We start from the raw sequence: 18,534 nt of genomic DNA on the forward strand, positions 1-18,534 counted from the left end.
TAAAATTTCCCATAATCTCAACACTGGTGATGACCAATTTAATATTTTATTGCAAATTTTGACAGTTTTTTCTCTATAGGCAAAAAAATATTTCTTTCTTACGTAAATGGGATTGTTGGCATTATTTATAACTTGTTTTTCACTCAGTAATACTGGGCGAACATTTTTTTTTTTTTTGAGTCGGAGTCTGGCTGTGTCACCCAGGCTGGAGTGCAGTGGTGTGATCTCAGCTCACTGCAACCTCTGCCTCCTGGGTTCAAACGATTCTCCTACCTCAGCCTCTCGGGTAGCTGGGACTACAGGCACCCACCACCACACCCAGCTAATTTTTGTATTTTTAGTAGAGATGGGGTTTCACCATCTTGGCCAGGCTGGTCTCAAACTCCTGACCTTGTGATTCACCCATCTCAGCCTCCCACAGTGCTGGGATTACAGGCATGAGCCACTGCGCCCAGCCAAACTGGGTGACTATTTTTACACATCAATAAATATACATGTGCAATATAATTTTTAACCACCTACATAGTATTTAGAGGCATTGAATACATTCCGTAATGTGCATGTTTTGAGGGTGTGTAGTGCTGGAACAGACATAGCTCGGCATATTGGCCAATGATTCCAGTCATCTCAAATTCCTAGAAGGGGAGCAGCGAGGGCAAGGGCTCTGACCCTGTTGCCAACGCCACTGCACAGAGTGAACCGAAGAGCTTAGATTCCCTCGCTACCTGCACAGCCGGTGCCTGGTGATCCACGCCGCCCACACTCAGCTTTCTCATTCATTGTCATTCTTGCCAATCTGGTAGGTGAACAATTACTTCTTCTGTTTCCTTCTTCTTCCTCCTACTCCTTCTTCTTCTTTCTTCTCATTTTCCTTCTCCTCCTCCTCTCTCCTCCTTCCTTCCTTCCTTCCTTCCCTCCCTCCCTCCCTGCCTCCCTCCCTCCCTTTTTCTCTTTCTTTCTTTTTCTTTCTTTCCTTCCTTCCTTCCTTCCTTCCTTCCTTTCTTTCCTTCTTTCTTTCTTTCTCTTTCTTTCTCTCCCTCTCTCTCTCTCTCTTTCTTTCTTTTTCTTTTTTTTGAGACAGAGTCTCACTCTGTTGCCCAGGCTGGAGTGCAATGCCACGATCTTGGCTCACTGCATCCTCCGCCTACCAGGTTCAAGTGATTCTCCTGCCTCAGCCTCCCAAGTAGCTGGGATTACAGGCGCCCACCACCTCACCTGCCTAATTTTTGTATTTTTAGTAGAGACGGGGTTTTACCATGTTGGCCAGGCTGGTTTCGAACTCCTGACCTCAGGTGATCCGCCCGCCCACTTTGTAATCCCAAAGTGCTGGGATTACAGGCTTGGACCACCACACCCGGCCTCCTCCTCCTCTTTCTCATGCTCATATTTCTCTTTCTTTGTATCCTCTTTCTCCTTCTCCTCCTCCTCCTGCTCCCATCCCCCTTCCTCTTCCCTTCCTCCTCCTTCCTCTTGTTTTTTTCTTGCGTTTCTCTGATTACTCCTCCAGGTGAACATTTACCATCTGCTTATTGGCCATTTGTATCTTTTCTTTTGGGAATTGTCAGTTTCTGGTTCTTGGCCATTTTTCTGTCGGTGGGTTTATCTTTATTTTATTGATTTACAAGGGCTCCTTGTAGATTATAGAAAATAACCTTTTGTTGTAAATTTTTTCCAGTTTGTCATTTGTCTTCTATTTTTATTTATTATTTATGGATCATTTGTTTTATTAAAATCTTGATTGTGAAAATAACATTTGCTCATTGTTAAGGATTCCAACAATGCAGAGGGATAAGAGGAGGGTAGAAATGCTTTCTCCTCTCTCATCCCGTGCCCAATCCTCAAACAGAACCACTCCACACTGCTCACCTGTGCTATTAGACAGTTTCTTTTCTTTTCTTTCTTTCTCTTTCTTTCTTTCTCTTTATTTCTCTCTCTCTTCTTCCTTCCTTCCTTCCCTTCCCTTCCCTTCCTTCCCTTCCCTTCCCCTTCCTTCCTTTCTTCCTTCCTTCCTTCCTTCCTTCTTTCTTTCTCTCTTTCTTTCTTGAGACAGAGTCTCACTCTGTAGCCCAGGCTGGAGTGCAGTGTCACAATCTCAGCTCACTGCAACCTTCGCCTCCCAGGTTCAAGCAATTCTCATGCCTCAGCCTCTCGAGTAGCTGGGATTACAGGCGTGCGCCACCACACCCAGCTAATTTTTTCTTTTGTTTTTTTTTTGTATTTTTAGTACAGACAGGGTGTCGCCATGTTGGCCAGGCTGGTCTCGAACTCCTGACCTCAGATGATCCACCCGTCTTGGCCGCACCAAGTGCTGGGATTACAGGAGTGAGCCACTGCACCCAGTCAACATTTTCTATGTTTATTCAAAAATAAATATTTATAAATCCATTCGTTCAACTGTCAACCTAAATAACAAACAGGGAGAGGCTGTCTAAAAGGAAAAGATTGCCAGGCACAGTGGCTCATGCCTGCAATGCCAGCACTTTGGGAGGCTGAGGCAGGTGGATTGCTTGAGCCCAGGAATTTGAGACCAGCCTAGACAACATGGCAAAACCCTGTCTCTATAAAAAATACAACAACAACAACAAAAATGAGCTGGCCATGGTGGCGTGCACCTGTAGTCCCAGCTACGTGGGAGGCTGTCCTGGGAGGATCACCTGAGCCCAGGAGGTTGAGGCAGCAGTAAGCCACGATGGCACCACTGCCCTCCGTCTGAATGACAGATCTCAACATTTTTTTTTTTTTTTTGAGATCTTGTCTCGGAAAAAAAAAAAAAAACCCCAAAACCACCAAAACAATAAATAAACAAATAAATAAATAAAAGTAAAAGATATTTATTATTCCCAACTAACTGACACAACTAATATTTGTTAAGTGCCTGTCGAGTCAGGCCCTGTGCTCTAATTTGGGCACAAAATGATGAACAAAACAGATATTGTCTCTGCCACCATGGAGCTTACAGTTTAACAGGGAGATGCTGATACAAAAAAAAAAAAAAAATCCATGTCAGTATATGTACACATTGTGATCAGTGCTGTGAAGAAAGATAATAAAGGGCGCTGTGGAGGACAGCCTCCACGATCCCCCATGATCCCTACCTCCTGGAATTCAAGCCCTTATTTCGTACCTTCCCCTTGTATGGGGGTAGGACTCATTGACTTGATGATCACAGACACTAAAGCAAAAGTGTTGGAGTGTGACCTCTGAGATTGGGTTATAAAAAGACTGTAGCTGGCTGGGCACAGTGGCTCACACCTGTAATCCCAGCACTTTAGGAGGCCAAGGCAGGAGGATTGCTTGAGCCCAAGAATTCAAGACCAGCTTGGACAACATAGGAAGACCCTGACTCTACAAAAAATAAAAAGATTAGCCAGGTGTGGTGGCAGGTACCTGCAGTTCCAGCTACTCAGGAGACTGAGGTGGGAGGATGGCTTGAGCCTGGAAGTTTGAGGCTGCAGTGAGCCATGATTGTGCCACCACACTCCAACCTGGGTGACAGAGACAGAACCTGTCTCAAAAGAAATGACTGTGGCTTCCAGTTTGGGTGGTCTTGCTCTTGGATCACTTGTGCCAGGGGAAGTAAGCTGCCATGTTGTGAGTTGACTTATGGAGAAGCCCATGTGGCATGGCAAAGAACTGAGAGGCCCTCAGTCCAACAGCCTGCGAAACACTGCAGCCTGCAAACCACCATGTGAGTGAACAGATCTGTTAGCTCCAGCCAAGTCTCAATATGACTGCAACTCGTGAGAACCTTGAGCCACTGACGCCCAGCTAAGCTGTGCCTGGATTCCCGGCCCACGGAAACTGAGATAATAAATGTTTGTTGTTACAGGCCACTAAATTTGTAAGTCACTGGGTTTCCCTCTGTAGATCAATTTGGAGAGTACTACCATCTTAACAAATTTAACGCTTCTGATCCACAGATATGGGATGTTACTTTCTGCTTATTTATATATTATCTTTGTTTGCTTCATGTTGCTACAACAGAATACTTGAGAAAGAATAATATATAAAGGAAAGGGGTTTATTTAGCTCACAGTTCTGCAGGCTGGGAAGTTCGAGAAGCATAGCACTGGCATCTGCTCAGCTTCTGGTGAGGGCTTTCCTGCTGCATGAAAATGTGGCAGAAGGTCAAAGGGGAAGCGAGCACATGTGAAGAAACAAAACCTGAGGGCTGTCCTGGCTTTATAACAACCCACTCTCACATTCTCATGAGATGTTTCTTATGAGTGTGGATGCAAAAGTCCTCAACAAAATACTAGCAAGCCAAATATTTGTAAAAGTCCTCAACAAAATACTAACAAACATTTTTATAAATGCCCATGAGAACAAATCCGGTCTCACAAGAGCTAGAACTCACTCACTACCACAAGAATGGCACCAAGGGGCCTGTGAGAGTGGAACCCCCCCATGACCCAAACACCTCTCATTAGACTCCACTTCTTAAAGGTTCTGACATCATTATATTGGCAATTAAGTTTCAATATGAGTTTTGGCAGAGACAAACCACATCCAAGCCATGGCAGATCTTTAATTTCTTCCAACAATGTTTCATGGTTTTCATGCTATAAGTTTTGTACTTCTTTTGATAAATTTATGTCTAAGTATTTTATTCTTTTTGATGCTATTGTTAATAGAATCTTCTTAATTTCATTTTTGGATTCTTTATTGAAAATGTACAGAAATACAATCAATTTTTGTGTATTAATCTTGTATTCTGCAACCTTGCTGAATTTATTAGTGTTACAGTTTAATAGGGGGATGCTGATACCAAAAAATCCATGTCAGTATATGTACACATTGTGATCAATGCTATGAAGAAAGAGAAGAATTGGCACTGGGGAGGGTAGCCTCCAAGATGCCCCCATGAACCCTGCCTCTTGGAATTCAGTAATTTTTTACTGAGTTCCTTAAAATTTTACATATGGAAGATCAGGTTACCTACAAATAGAGATAGTTTTACTTCTTTTCTAAACTGGATGGCTTTTTGCTTCTTTTTCTATCCTAATTGTCCTACCTAGAATCTCCCCTACAATGTTGAATAGAAGTGCTGAGAGTACACATCCTTGTGCTGTTCCTGACTTAGGAAGAAAGCATCCAGCTTTTCATTAGTAAGTTTGATGTTAGTGGGTTTTTTATAAATGCCCTTTGTCAGGTTAAGGAAGCTTCCTTCTATTCCTAGTTTGTTGAGTACTTTTATGATCAAAGGGCTTGGGATCTTGTCAAATGCATTTTCTGCATCGTTTGAGATGGTCACATGGTTTTTTTTCTTATGCTATTGATATGGTGTATTACATTAATTGATCTTTGGATGTTAAGCCAACCTTGCATTCATGTGGTAAATCCCACTTCATCAGGGCTGGGCATGGTGGCTCATGCCTGTAATCTCAACACTTTGGGAGGCTGAGGTGGGTGGATCACTTGAGGTCAGGAGTTTGAGACCAGCCTGGCCAACAAGGTGAAACCCCATCTCTATAAAAATACAAAAAAGGTAGCTGGGCATGATGGTGGACACCTGTTATCCCAGCTACTCGGGAGGCTGAGGCAGGAGAATCACTTGAACCCGGGAGGTGGAGGTTGCAGTGAGCTGAGATTGTGCCACTGTACTTCAGCCTGGGTGACAGAGTGAGACTCTATAAAAAAAAAAAAAAAAGTCTGTTTCATCATGATGTAGAATTCATATGATGTGAATTTGGCTTGCTAGTATTTTGTTGAGGATTTTTGCATCCATATTCATAAGAAACATCAATCTGTAGTTTCCTTTTCTTGTGATGTCTTCATTTGGTTTTGGTGTCAGTGTAATACTGCCCTCATAAAATGAATTGGGAAGTGTTTTCTTCTTTTCTATTTTTTGAACAGTTTGTGAAGAATTGGTATTATTATGTATTTTATTTATTTATTTATTTTGAGATGGAGTCTTGCTCTGTTGCCCAGGCTGGAGTGCAGTGGCACGATCTCAGCTCACTGCAACCTCCTCCTCCTGGGCTCAAGCAATTCTCCTGCCTCAACCTCCCAATTAGCTGAGATTACAGGCACCTGCCACCATGCCTGGCTGATTTTTTGTATTTTTTGTAGAGACAGGGTTTCACCATGTTGGCCAGGCTGGTCTCAAACTCCTGACCTCAAGTGATCTGCCCGCCTTGGGCTCCCAAAGTGATGGGATTTTAATTATTCTTTAAATGTTTGTTAGAATTTCCCACTGGAGTCATCTGGTCCTGAGCTTTTCTTTGTGGGTAGTGTTGTGATTATCTCTATTTGTTATCTCTATTCAAATTTTGTTTCTTCTTCCATCAGTTTTTGTAGTTTCCACCTTTCTAGAAATTTGTCCACATCATCTAAGTTATCTATTTTGTTGACATGTAATAGTTCATAGTATTCCTTTATAATTTTTTTATTTCTTTGATGTTGGTAGTAATGCTCCTTCTTTCATATCTGATTTTAGTAATTGAAGTTCTCTCTTATTTTCTTGGTCAATGTAGCTAAAGGTTTTCAATTTTGTTGGTCTTTTTATAGAGCCAGCATTTAGTTTCACTAATGTTCTCTATTTTTCTATTCTCTATTTCATTAATTTCCATTCTAATCTTTGTTCTGCTTCCTTTAGGCTTTCTTATTTTGCTCTTCTTTTACCATTGTCTTAAGGTGGAAAGTTAGGTTACTGATTTCAGATCATTATTTTATTGTAGACCTTTACAACTATAAATTTCCCTTCTACTAAAAAGTTCTTCCCTAATAAGTACTACTTTAGTGGTATCCTGTAAGTTTTGATATTTTTGTGTCTTCATTTTCATTCATTTCAAATTATTTTCTAATTTCCCTTTTGGTTCCTTCTTTGAAACATTAGTTATTTAGGAATGTGTTGTTTAATTTCCATATACTTGTGAATCTCTCCAATTTCTTTCAACAGAATAATGATTTCTAATTTCATTCCATTCTGGTTGGAGAACATACTTTGTATTATTTCTTTTAAAATTTATTGGGTTGGGTGTGATGGTTCATACCTATAATACCAGCATTTTGGGAGGCTGAGGTGGGAGTATTGCTTTAGCGGAGGAGTTCAAGACCAGTCCAGGCAATATATTGAGACTCCATCTCTACAAAAAAAAATTAAAATAAACTAAAATATATTGAGGTTTGCTATCGCCTAGAATAGGGTCTGTTCTGGGTAATATTCCATGAGCACTTGAGAAAATGTATATTCTGCTTTTGTTGGGTAGAGTGTTCTATAGACATCCATCAAGTCAAATTGGTTCATAGTGTTGTTTAAGTCTTCAATTTTCATGCTACTTGTGAGACCGAAGTAGGAGGATTGCTTGAGCCCATAAGTTCAAGATCTGCTTGGGCAGCATAGTGAGACTTATTCTAAAATAAATACATAAATGATGTTCAATTTCCTTGTTGATCTCCTGGCTACTTCTTTTTTTTTTTTTTTTTTTCTTTTTTTTTTTTAATTGATCATTCTTGGGTGTTTCTCGCAGAGGGGGATTTGGCAGGGTCATAGGACAATAGTGGAGGGAAGGTCAGCAGATAAACAAGTGAACAAAGGTCTCTGGTTTTCCTAGGCAGAGGACCCTGCGGCCTTCCACAGTGTCTCCTGGCTACTTCTATCCACTACTGAAAGTGGGGTCTTGAGGTCTCCAGCTATCATTGCTGAGTTATCTATTCCCCGCTTCATTTCCGTCAGTTTTTGCTTCATGTGCTTTGGTGCTCTGTTACTAGGTGCATATATATTTATAATTGTTATATTTACCTGATGGATTGACCCTTTTATAATTCTAAAATGTCCCTAGAAGCATTTTTTTTGTTTTAAAGTCTATTTTGTCTGATAAAACTATAGCCACTTCAGCTTTCTTGTGATTGCCCTTTGCATGATATATCTTTTTTTTATTCTTTTGCTTTTCATCTATTTGTGCTTTTAAATCTAAAATGTTTCTCCATGGACAGCATATAGTAGAACCTTGTGTTTTTATTTTTTATTTTTTGAGATGGAGTCTCGCTCTGTCGCCCAGGCTGGAGTGCAGTGGCGCGATCTCGGCTCACTGCAACCTCCACCTCCCGGGTTCACGCCATTCTCCTGCCTCAGCCTCCTGAGTAGCTGGGACTACAGGCACTCGCCACCACACCCGGCTAATTTTTTGTATATTTAGTAGAGATGGGGTTTCACCATGTTAGCCAGGATGGTCTTGATCTCCTGACCTCGTGATCTGCCCGCCTCGGCCTCCTAAAGTGCTGGGATTACAGGCGTGAGCCACCGTGCCTGGTCGAATCTTTTTTTTTATCCAGTACAATAATCTTCCTTTTGATTACATTGTTTAATCCATTTACATTTAATATTATTGGTATAGTTGGATTTATGCCGCCATTTTACTTTTTGTTTTCTATGTCTCAAGTCTTTTCTGTTCCTCATTCTTCCTTCACTGCTTTCCTTTGCATTAAGTGAATATTTTCTAAGGTAGCATTTACATTTCTATGATGATTTTTTTGAAGTATATTTTTGGCATTTTCTTAGTTGTTGATCTAGGGTTTTATATACTTTTTTTTTTTTTTTTGAGACAGCGTCTCACTCTGTCACCCAGGCTGGAAAACAGTGGCATTATCATGGCTCACCACAGACTTGATGTGCTGGGCTTAAGCAATCCTCCTACCTCAGTCGCCCGAGCAGCTGGGACTACAGGCAAGCACCACCATGCCTGGCTAATTTTGTTTATTTTTTATAGAGATGAGGTCTCACTATGTTTCCCAGGCTGGTCTCCAACCCCTGAGCTCAAGCGATTCATCCTCTTGCCTTGGGCTCCTAAAGTGCTGGGATTACAGGCCTGATCCATTGCACCTGGCTATACATTTTAACTTACTAGAATCAGCTTCTGATTTATTTATTTATTTATTTTTGAAATAGAGTCTCGCTCTGTCACCCAGGCTGGAGTACAGTGGCGCAATATCGGCTCACTGCAACCTCTGCCTCCCAGGTTCAAGCAATTCTCCTGTCTCAGCCTCCCAAGTAGCTGGGACTACAGGTGTGTGCCATCATGCCTGGCTAATTTTTGTATTTTTTTTTTAGTAGAGACAGGGTTTTGCCATGTTGGTCAAGCTGGTCTCAAATTCCTGACCTCAGGTGATCCACCTGCCTCAGCCTTCCAAAGTGCTGGGATTACAGGCATGTGCCACCGCGCCCAGCCTCAGCTTAAGATTTATATTAACTTTAATTTTAATGAGATGTAGAAACATGACTCCTATGTAGCTTTTTTCCCTTTCTCTCCTTTTTGTGGCATTGTTGTTATAACTATCACATCTATAAATGTTACAAGCCCAACAATAAGTTGTTATAATCATTACTTTAAATAATTTTATGTTTTCTACAGAAGCTGAGAGAAAAAGGAGAATAAGTATATACAGCTTTTATTATATTAATCCTCTTTTTTAAAAAAATAATTTCTAGGCCGGGCACGGTGGCTCATGCCTGTAATCCCAGCACCTTGGGAGGCCGAGGCGGGGGGATCACTTGAGGTCAGGAGTTTCAGACCAGCCTGGCTAACATGGTGAAACTCCGTCTCTACTAAAAATACGATAGCCAGGTGTGGTGGCGGCGCCTGTAGTCCCAGCTACTTGGGAGGCTGAGGCAGGAGAATGGCGTGAACCCGGGAGGTGGAGGTTGTAGTAAGCCGAGATCGCGCCACTGCACTCCAGCCTGGGCGACAGAGCGAGACTCCGTCTCAAAAAATAAATAAATAAAATAATTTCTAGTTCTCTTCATTTCTTCTCGTGGATTTGAGTGACATCTGGAGTCATTTCCTTAGCCCAGTACAGCTTTGCTCCCACCCACCTTTCTTGTCTTGCTTTTGGTAAATATACTACATTTTATATGTAATAGGCCTAACAATATGTTATATTCATATTTATACAGTTGCTTTTTAAATCAGTTGAGAAGAAAAATGAATTTATACTGTCTTTTATAATTGCATAATTACTTTTACCAGTGCTTTTTGTGGATTCAAATTGCCATCCGGGGTAACTTGCTTTTAGCCTGAAGAACTACCTTTTTTTTTTTGAGACGCAATTTTGCTCTTGTTGCCCAGGCTGGAGTGCAATGGCGTGATCTTGGCTCACTGCAAACTCCATCTCCCAGGTTCAAGCAGTTCTCGTGACTCAGCCTCCCAAGTAGCTGGGATTACAGGCGCCCGCCACCACGCCCGGCTAATTTTTGTATTTTTAGTGGAGATGGGGTTTCACCATGTTAGCCAGGCTGGTCTTGAACTCCTTACCTCAAGTGATCCCCCCCACCTCGGACTCCCAAAGTGCTGGGATTACAGGCGTGAGCCACCATGCCTGGCCTTGCCCAGTTTAATTTTGTCTCAAATTATATTGCCTGATGCTGAATAACTCTGATTTTCTGTTTGCATCTGCTTGATAGACATGTGCTCATTCTTCTGCATTTCACCTTTTTCTGGTCTTAAGATCAGTTGTTTTAAATGTCTGTCTCTCCACTTCTGTTGCAAATTTCTAAACTCACTAGTGGATAAGCTGCCTGCCACATCTGGGGGCATCTTGCCTGGCCGAGTGGTTGAGTGGTCCAGCTGATGTGTTGACGAGGCTCACAGTGGCTGCGTGGGTACTTCTGCCATTGTCATGGATGCTGTGTTGCTCAGCAATTCTGAGGTGACAACACAAACTCATGGGTCTCCCAGGTAGCTTTTAAAACAGTAAATTGGCCGGGTGTGGTGGCTTACACCTGTAATCCCAGCACTTTGGGAGGCCGAGGCGGGTGGATCATGAGATCAGGAGATCGAGACCATCCTGGCTAACATGGTGAAACCCCATCTCTACTAAAAAGACAAAAAATTAGCCAGGTGTGGTGGCAGGCACCTGTAATCCCAGCTACTCGGGAGACTGAGGCAGGAGAATCGCTTGAACCCGGGAGGTGGATGTTTCAGTGAGCCGAGATCGCGCCACTGCACTCCACCCTGGGTGACAGTGAGACTCGGTCTCAAACAAACAAACAAAACAAACAAACAAAAAACAGTAAATTAACTCACGGCTAGAAGATACCAGCCAACAGCTTGGGAAGCCTCACATGAAGAGAGAGTGAGAAGCCCTCTCCACTGGGGAATCAGAGGTGGTCAGTGGCCGCGAGGAAGAGGAGAGAGCCATCACCTGGTGCTTTAATTTTCGCCCTCACCTGCCTGAAAACCCAGGTGGAAGCAGGGCAGGAGAATGAGCGGAGGAGGAAGAGGAGGAAGAGGCAGGATGGAGGGCGGGAGAGAGAGGGAGCCGACATCTTTGAGTCCCTGGAATTTAGCTTTGCCTGGGGCTAGAGGCAACCCTCGGGCTTTTCGGTTTTGTAAGTCAATCCATTTCCGTGTTAAGTTAGTTTGGAGTGTCTTTAACTTGCAACTGAAGAAATCCCAACGAATCCTGGGACAGCGCCTCCAGATAGGAAGTCTAGAAGCTGGTTGGGCATGAGCAAAGCTACGTACGCCAAGAACCCCAAGAGAGAAGGAGAATTTGGTAATGGAGCAACTGGATGCCATCTGTGGCTTGACTGGACACTGTTGGAGGCCTTTTTATTTCTGGAATTTTTACATTTCCTTTCCATATACTGTCCATATTTAATGTCATGAGAAGAGAGCTGTGACATTATTTCAACCTACTGGAGCCAAATTGTTGCATAAAGTTGGGTCAGAAATACTTTCCGCTGAGGTGAGAGGACACCTTGCCACCTCCTGGAGATGGGTAGTTCTAGGGCTCAAACAATGGAATGAAGGAGTCAGACTGTCAGACTCCTGGCTTTCTGCTCCCACCGCCCCAGAGTGTTGGCTTGTCAGCCTCCAGCTGACATCTCGTCTCGGCACAAAGGGAGTGCGTAGGAGCAGGGCTCCTTCCCCAGAGCCTCTGGAGAATGCAGCCATAGAGCCGCCTTGTTACCAGAAAGGGGTCCCAATCCAGACCCCAGAGAGGGTTCTTGAATCTCATGCAAGAAAGAATTTGAGGTGAGTCCACAGAGTAAAGTGAAAACAAGTTTATTCGGAAAGAAATAAAGAATGGCTACTCCAAAGGCAGAGCAGCCTCGAGGTGCCCATTTTTATGGTTACTTCTTTTTATTTATTTGAGACAGTCTCACTCTGTTGCCCAGGCTGGAGTGCAGTAGCGTGATCTTGGCTCGCTGCAACCTCCGCCTCCTGGGTTCAAGTGATTCTGCTGCCTCAGCCTCCCGAGTAGCTGAGATTACAGGCACGCACCACCATGCCTGGCTAATTTTTGTATTTTTAGTAGAGACAGGGTTTCACCATGTTGGCCAGGCTGGTCTCAAACTCCTGACCTCGTGATCCATCTGCCTCAGCCTCCCAAAGTGCTGGAGTTATAGGCATGAGCCACCGTGCCTGGCCTATTTCTTGATTATATGCTAAATAGAGGTGTGTTATTCATGCTTCCCCTTTTTAGACCATATAGGGTTACTTCCTGACATTGACATGCCATTTGTAAACTGTCACAGCGCTGGTAGGAGTGTAGCAATGAGGACAACCAGAGGTCACTCTTGTGGCCATCTGGGTTTTGGTGTTTTGGCCAGCTTCTTTACTGCAACCTGTTTCATCAGCAGGGCCTCTATGACGTGTATCTTGTGCCGACCTCCTATCTCGTCCTGTGACTCAGAATGTCTAACCGTCTGGAAATGCAGCCAGTAGGTCTCAACCTTATTTTACCCAGCCCCTATTCAAAATGGAGTTGCTCTGGTTCAGACACCTCTGACGGCCTCACTGCAAGAAGGGCTGGGACACAGAAGCGAGCTTACTTGGGGTGGGCAGGGGGAGGGAGCAGGGAGGACTTAATCATGACTTTCCTCATGAGCTAGTAGAAAGTCCTACCTTTCTTGAGATTAAACTGTGTAGAGTCACCACCTGCAAAAAATTGGATTTTGTCAGCAGGGAAGGAGGGGAGGGGTAGGAGATGGCAGCTAGGGAAGCGACAGGGCCGTGTTTTATTTATTTTTATTTTTTGAGACAGAGTTTTGCTCTCGTTGCCCAGGCTGGAGTGCAATGGTGCCATCTCAGCTCACCGCAACCTCTGCCTCCCAGGTTCAAGCGATTCTCCTGCCTCAGCCCCCTGAGTTGCTGGGATTACAGGCATGCGCCACCAGGCCTGGCCAAGTTTGTATTTTTAGGAGAGACGGGGTTTCTCCATGTTGGTCAGGCTGGTCTCGAACTCCCGACCTCAGGTGATCCACCCACCTCGACCTCCCTAAGTGTTGGGATTACAGGCGTGAGCCACCACACCTGGCCAGGGCCGTGTTTTGACTTGGCTTCCGTCTGAGTGCCTGGGCTGCTCACTGGTGGTTCCGCATGAAGCCCCGGCGCTAGGTCTGTGGAGGGCATGTATTGAGCGGGTGAGCGCGCGCTGAGCGCCTCTGTGCTGCAGCCGTGGCTGGGGGCCGGGGCTCTCCACCCGCCTCCCGCGTGGTTCGAGGCTGACTTCCCACCGCTTCTGCCTCTCGATAAATGAGGCTCAGCTGGTGGAACCCTGTGTTTCTCTTCAGTTCTAAAAGCTTGGGCTCAACTTGCTTGGCTCTCTGTGGCCTTCTTCTTAGTCCGCTGGTGCTGGCTTAGTCACACTAGCCGGGCAGGGCTCAGATGGACGCGCCTGCTTTTCAGAGTGAAGCCCCAGTGTGCTCCGGACAAGGTGAGGCGGGGAGGGCATCAACATTTGCACCAGGTCCTAGAGATCGCCTCGGGAGCGGCACAGGCCTGGGAGCACCCAGTCCTGCTGAGTCTCAGGTTTCTCTCTGGGCTGAGGGATAGTGAGGGCTGAGGCTGGGTCCAGACCCTGCCTGGGGCTCCCCCGAAAGCAGTCTGGGGCTTTGGGGGATGTGTCAGACTCTGTCGGGCTGGAACAAATGGGCCTCAAAGGTTGGTTAAGTGCAGCCCCTGCCAAGAAGGCACGCTTCTGTAATTTGCCAGACAGTCCTCAGCCCCAGAATGCCTCTGGGAAGGAGACAGAGCAGCGCGTGGCAAAGCAGAGGCGGGGAGGAGGAGGAAGCGGGAGGCCCAGGTAAACCTCAGGCCACACTTGGGCCAGAGGCAGGGTCCAAAGGCCGGCGGGAAGGCAGCCAGTCCCAGGAAGGCAGCAGGCGCACTGCCTGGGGCCCTGCCTTCCTCCTCCGGGTTCCGCAGTGTCCTGCGGGCTACCAGAGAGGTCCACGGCGGGCGGTGGGGCCAGGGGAGCCTGGCCGAAGAGCAGAGGCCCCCACGGCGCCCTGTGTGTGGAAACCTCCGGATGGCCGCAGGGGGGTGGGGGGAGAACCAAAGCCCTGGGATCGCCGGGGGAGGGGCGGGGGCTTGGCTCGGGCTTGGGAGGAGGATGATCTGGAGGAAGGCCTACAGCAGCTTTCCATTCTTTCAGCCCTGAGCCCCCGAGTCTCCGCCTCGCATCCGTTCGGGCGCGGTGTAAACTCCACGCCTGAGCTCCACGAGACACGGCGGGGCGGAGGGAGGAGGGAGAGACCAGTCCACACACAGGCGTACCTTATTATATAGAATTTGTACAATATATTTCTTTTCGTTTGCATATTTTACCCACAGCTTAACATCCTTTTTACAGGCTGAACTCACTCAGGCTGATAGAATCAAAATTCTTTCAACCAAATAAGAAAAATTCAAAATCGTAAACCCGTAAGAAAACAAATTAAAAACGGTGATGAAAATACGTCACTCCTCTCGTTAGGAACAGTGTCTGTTTGTACAACAGGTATGCTCTGGAACAGGATTTCTTTACAGCGTAGGCACGTGTTTCCACCTTTGCTCTGCGGGCTTCGCCTCCTCCGGGCCTGGGGCTCCTGGAAAGCGCCGGGACGCGGCGGCTCTGGCTCGGCAGCGCCACCCGGTGGCCGGAGACAGAGGCGGCCGGGCCGAGCCGGGAGAGCAGCCGCGGGTGCGAGCGGACTCAGGCTTGTTTCCCGTGAACTGCAGCGAAGATCCCAGAACAGCAAGGGCAGTGGGCGGACAGGTGCTCTGGGGAGCCCAGCGTTTATTTACAGCTGATCTTCCTGACGGGAGGATGGAGTACAGCGGCGGCCACTGCCATAGGGGAGGTGACTCCGGCCCTACCGCCCGCTTTACTCGGAGTCTGGGGTGTGGAGGGGCGTGGGTGGCGCTATCTCGTCTACCTTCCAGGTTGGCTGTGAGTCTGAGCACGCAGCGGGGCCTCCCTCCCAAGCACTAAGACTTGTTTCCTGTGAGTCCCCTCTTGGGAAACTCCTTACTGGGAGGCCTCCTCGGGTCTGAGGGATGAAGAAGGTGGGGCCTTCTCTGGGGTGGTGCAGGCAGCTCCCAAAGCAAGGTAGGTTTGGCAAAGAGCAAAAGATGGGAAAAGGGTTTCTACGGAGCCAGCAGCACCTGCCTATTCAGGTCCCAAGCCACAGGAACCAGGCCAGGCCTTTCCACCAGGGCAATGGCCTCAGTCCTCAGGCCACCAAGTTCCAGGACCTGCCCCATGTGTTCCCGTCTCCCTTAAATCCCACCCTCCACCCGCCCCGGGATGGTTCTACCAGAACTCTGGGGCTTAGCTGAGAACCCAATTGTAGGGCTGTGAAGCCCGCTGCACCTTGGAGTCCTGACCCAGAAGGCGAAAGTGCTCTTATAGGAAGATGCTTCCAGACCTGCAGACTTGGGCCCTTGCAATCCAGATCCCTGCAGACCCTGCACAGAGGGATCTTCAGAGGCCACGGGGCACACTGGGCCATGGCAATGCTGACCTGGTCAAGCTTGGCCTTGGTGGTGGGGCCCCTTCTCTGGCTCTGGCACTGTGTGGTGGGACGTGCTTCGGCCCAGACACTGCCCCTAAAGGCATGCTCCAACCCCACGGGTCCCACTAAGGCCGGCACGCAGCCCACACGCCAGACTTGCTTCATGTTCCCAAGCGTGGCTCTGGAGGGAGAATCATCATCGGCACTCCAGGGCAAGACTAAACCCATCAAAAGAAAAATGTAAAACAGCACTGACTAGAACTAATGTCGTTATTGCTACAAGTGACAGCCAAACAGCCACGCAGAGTCCCAGAGGTGGGTATGACAGACTACCATGACTATCAAGCAGAAATAAAATTATGTGGGTTTTTACTCTTAAAATAAGATATCCTCTGATCATCTTCACGGTACATAAGCTCACGCGTGCTCCTCACATTCTGCTCCTTTCACAGAATGGTCAGTCCCCGGTCATGCCCTCGAGCCCCTCCAGGGAGACAGTGTGGTTCTGCTCTAAAAACGTGAGGTGGAAACTGAAATATGTCAAAACAACAACTGAGGAACTGCGGCTGTGCTGCCTGGTGCATGAGCAGACGTACAGGGGCGCCTGCCGGCTGTCCCCAAGGGCACTTGTTCTCCTCAAGGAGTTCTCTGGGAGGGTGCGGCCGTGCAGGGAGCTAGCTCGATGCCTGGTTCTGTACTGGATGCTTGGGGATCACTGGTGGCTAGGAGGGGCTCTCGCCAGTTTTGGTTTGGTGTGAAAAGCAAAGAGGTGCTCCCAGGCTGGGCAGCCACTGGGGGTCTTGCTGGAAAGGTGGATCTGGGTGGACTGTGCCTCCCTCTGAAGGCAAGTGCAGGCAGTTCCAGCTCCACGGAGACAGAAACCAGTTGAGAGAGGCCGCTTCCAAGTCTTCCCAGGCCCACGGCTCCTGCAGTGACAGCCTCTGGAGAAGGCTGGTCTCTGAACCTTCTTAAGGGCCCCCTGCCCACCCTTTCTGAGGCATTCTGCACTGCTTGGCTTATTTTCACCATGCTACAGCCTGTGCTTGTGTCCAGCCTACGCACGGGAGCTCTTGGAGACGTGGCTGCTTGGCATCCTAACTGGAGTGGTCAGCTCAAGGAGAGCTGGGCACTGGCGCTACAGGAGTTTTCCTGAATGAGGTTAGATGTCTGCTCTAAAATCCCTGTGGCAGATGAACTAGTCCCATGCACGCCCCACCAAGGGCTAACACTCCACATTCCAGAGGCGGGTGGCCTTGTTTGGGTAGTTGATGGCCAGGCTGATGGCAGCAATGTTCTGCAGAGCCTGTAGAGGGAAAAAGAGTTGTCGCCAATGTCGGGAGCCACTCCCTCATTCAGTGAGTGCTGATAAGACCCTCAGCTGAGCACTGAGGATGTGGGGACGGAGGAGGGGAACCAGATGTGTTCCCCTCCCCCACAGGCCTGCAGAGTGGAGAGAGAAAAAAAATGCTATTAAGAGCACATGAAAGCTCCAAATGTAGGTAGGAATCATCACTGCCCAGAGGGGCAGTCCCAGGGCGGAGGCTCAGAAGGCTGTCTGCAGAGGTCTGGGAAAACTCTCTGGGGAAAACAGTGCAAAGATGCAGGTGGGGAAGGGCAAGGCACTCACAGGAAACGAACAGCCAGTGCTGGGGACCAGAGGGAGTAGAGAAAACAGGGCCAGGAGGGCACTGAGATGCCCTGGAGGCGAGGCCAGGCCCGTCAGGCCTTCAGGGTCTGGGCAGCAAGAGGGTGGAGGTGGCAGAGGGAGGAAGAGGGGGTTGGCAGGGAGACGTGTCAGGGAGAAACGTCAGGACACTGGTGCAGTACACTCAACAGGCTGTGGGGGGGGTCAGAAGAGGGTAAGGAGGAAATGGAGACTGGACAGGGGCAGCAAGAGGGACCCGCCCACAGGCAAGCCGCCATGCTGAGCTTTGGGGCCAGGACGGGCAAATATCAAAATTTCGTTACATGATGTGATGAAACCTGGGGTGGCGGCGGCAATGCTGGTAGGTAGCTGTTGGGGGTAAGGGAGTTTCTACTCTGCCTACAGGTCTCGGGTGAATTCACACAAACTCTTCGGTATGGGCTGGGGGCATTTCCACTTCCGAGCGTACACGTCAAAGCCTACAACAGGAAAGAAGACCCTTTTCCTGCAAAAGGGCGGTGTGTTCGGAGACTACTTCCAAGGGACAGAGCGCCGCGCTCAGGCAGGGCTCTTGGCTGGGTGTCCCGGCTGGGTGTCCACCCACGGGTAACCCTGTGAGCCTCAGTGTCCCTAGCTGTCCTCCGGGGGGGTGGGGGTGTTGGGCCACACACGCGATGATATTCAAGGAGTCCAAGGTTCTCAAAATGTACTCTGGGGCCAGGCGACTCCCGAGACCCTTTTGGGGTCTGCAAGGTTCATTTTTGACTTTCCTTCTCCTGAGTATATGGTGGAGTGTTCCAGAGCCTGACGTGTGATCTGACTGACTGCAGAAGCAGACATGAGAACATGAGAATCCAGCTGTCTTCTACGAGGCCAGACATGAGAGGGGTCTGCAAGGATGGAACACAACAGCGCCACCCTCTGCAGGCATTCCTTTTTTCTTTTTTGGTCACCTATTTGTCCCAGAGCACTCAGTAATTACTTTGTTTTGAAAAGTTAGAGTCGTTTTTCACAAGACGTGTTATTCATGTTAACATGAAATGGGTTCACTACTTTAAAAAAATAAATTGATAAAGGTTTACACTTTTGCTTAATTTTTAAATTGAAAATCTCGTTTCTAATGGCACATATGGATATATGCATAATAGACATATCCAAAAGCTTT

At 47.3% G+C, this 18,534-nt stretch overlaps 1 protein-coding gene across 2 annotated transcripts in view, besides 4 other annotated features; it reads right to left on the minus strand.

Moving 5' to 3' along the window:
- Positions 3,774–3,903: an enhancer, noted in NCBI's record as "active region_11530". NCBI's record gives its function as "activates an Ori minimal core promoter by ATAC-STARR-seq in GM12878 lymphoblastoid cells {active_cell/tissue: GM12878}" and the evidence as "EXISTENCE:reporter gene assay evidence [ECO:0000049][PMID:35858748]".
- The window catches only part of ZZEF1 (zinc finger ZZ-type and EF-hand domain containing 1), a 138,586-nt gene continuing 134,553 nt past the window's right edge, over positions 14,502–18,534 (minus strand). For both annotated transcript variants that reach the window (NM_015113.4, XM_005256561.3), the window contains exon 55: positions 14,502–17,027. In NM_015113.4, coding sequence (NP_055928.3) covers positions 16,947–17,027 — 81 coding nt within the window. In that variant the 3' untranslated portion in view covers positions 14,502–16,946. The remainder of the gene's footprint in view (positions 17,028–18,534) is intronic.
- Positions 14,726–14,805: a silencer, noted in NCBI's record as "silent region_8030". NCBI's record gives its function as "represses an Ori minimal core promoter by ATAC-STARR-seq in GM12878 lymphoblastoid cells {active_cell/tissue: GM12878}" and the evidence as "EXISTENCE:reporter gene assay evidence [ECO:0000049][PMID:35858748]".
- Positions 14,906–14,985: a silencer, noted in NCBI's record as "silent region_8031". NCBI's record gives its function as "represses an Ori minimal core promoter by ATAC-STARR-seq in GM12878 lymphoblastoid cells {active_cell/tissue: GM12878}" and the evidence as "EXISTENCE:reporter gene assay evidence [ECO:0000049][PMID:35858748]".
- Positions 17,152–18,119: an enhancer, noted in NCBI's record as "H3K4me1 hESC enhancer chr17:3910389-3911356 (GRCh37/hg19 assembly coordinates)". NCBI's record gives its function as "activates a minimal SCP1, AML or CMV promoter by ChIP-STARR-seq in primed H9 embryonic stem cells {active_cell/tissue: H9 hESC(primed)}" and the evidence as "EXISTENCE:reporter gene assay evidence [ECO:0000049][PMID:30033119]".

This window comes from Homo sapiens, chromosome 17, assembly GCF_000001405.40.
Source record: "Homo sapiens chromosome 17, GRCh38.p14 Primary Assembly".
In the NCBI taxonomy this organism is placed as follows: domain Eukaryota; kingdom Metazoa; phylum Chordata; class Mammalia; order Primates; family Hominidae; genus Homo; species Homo sapiens.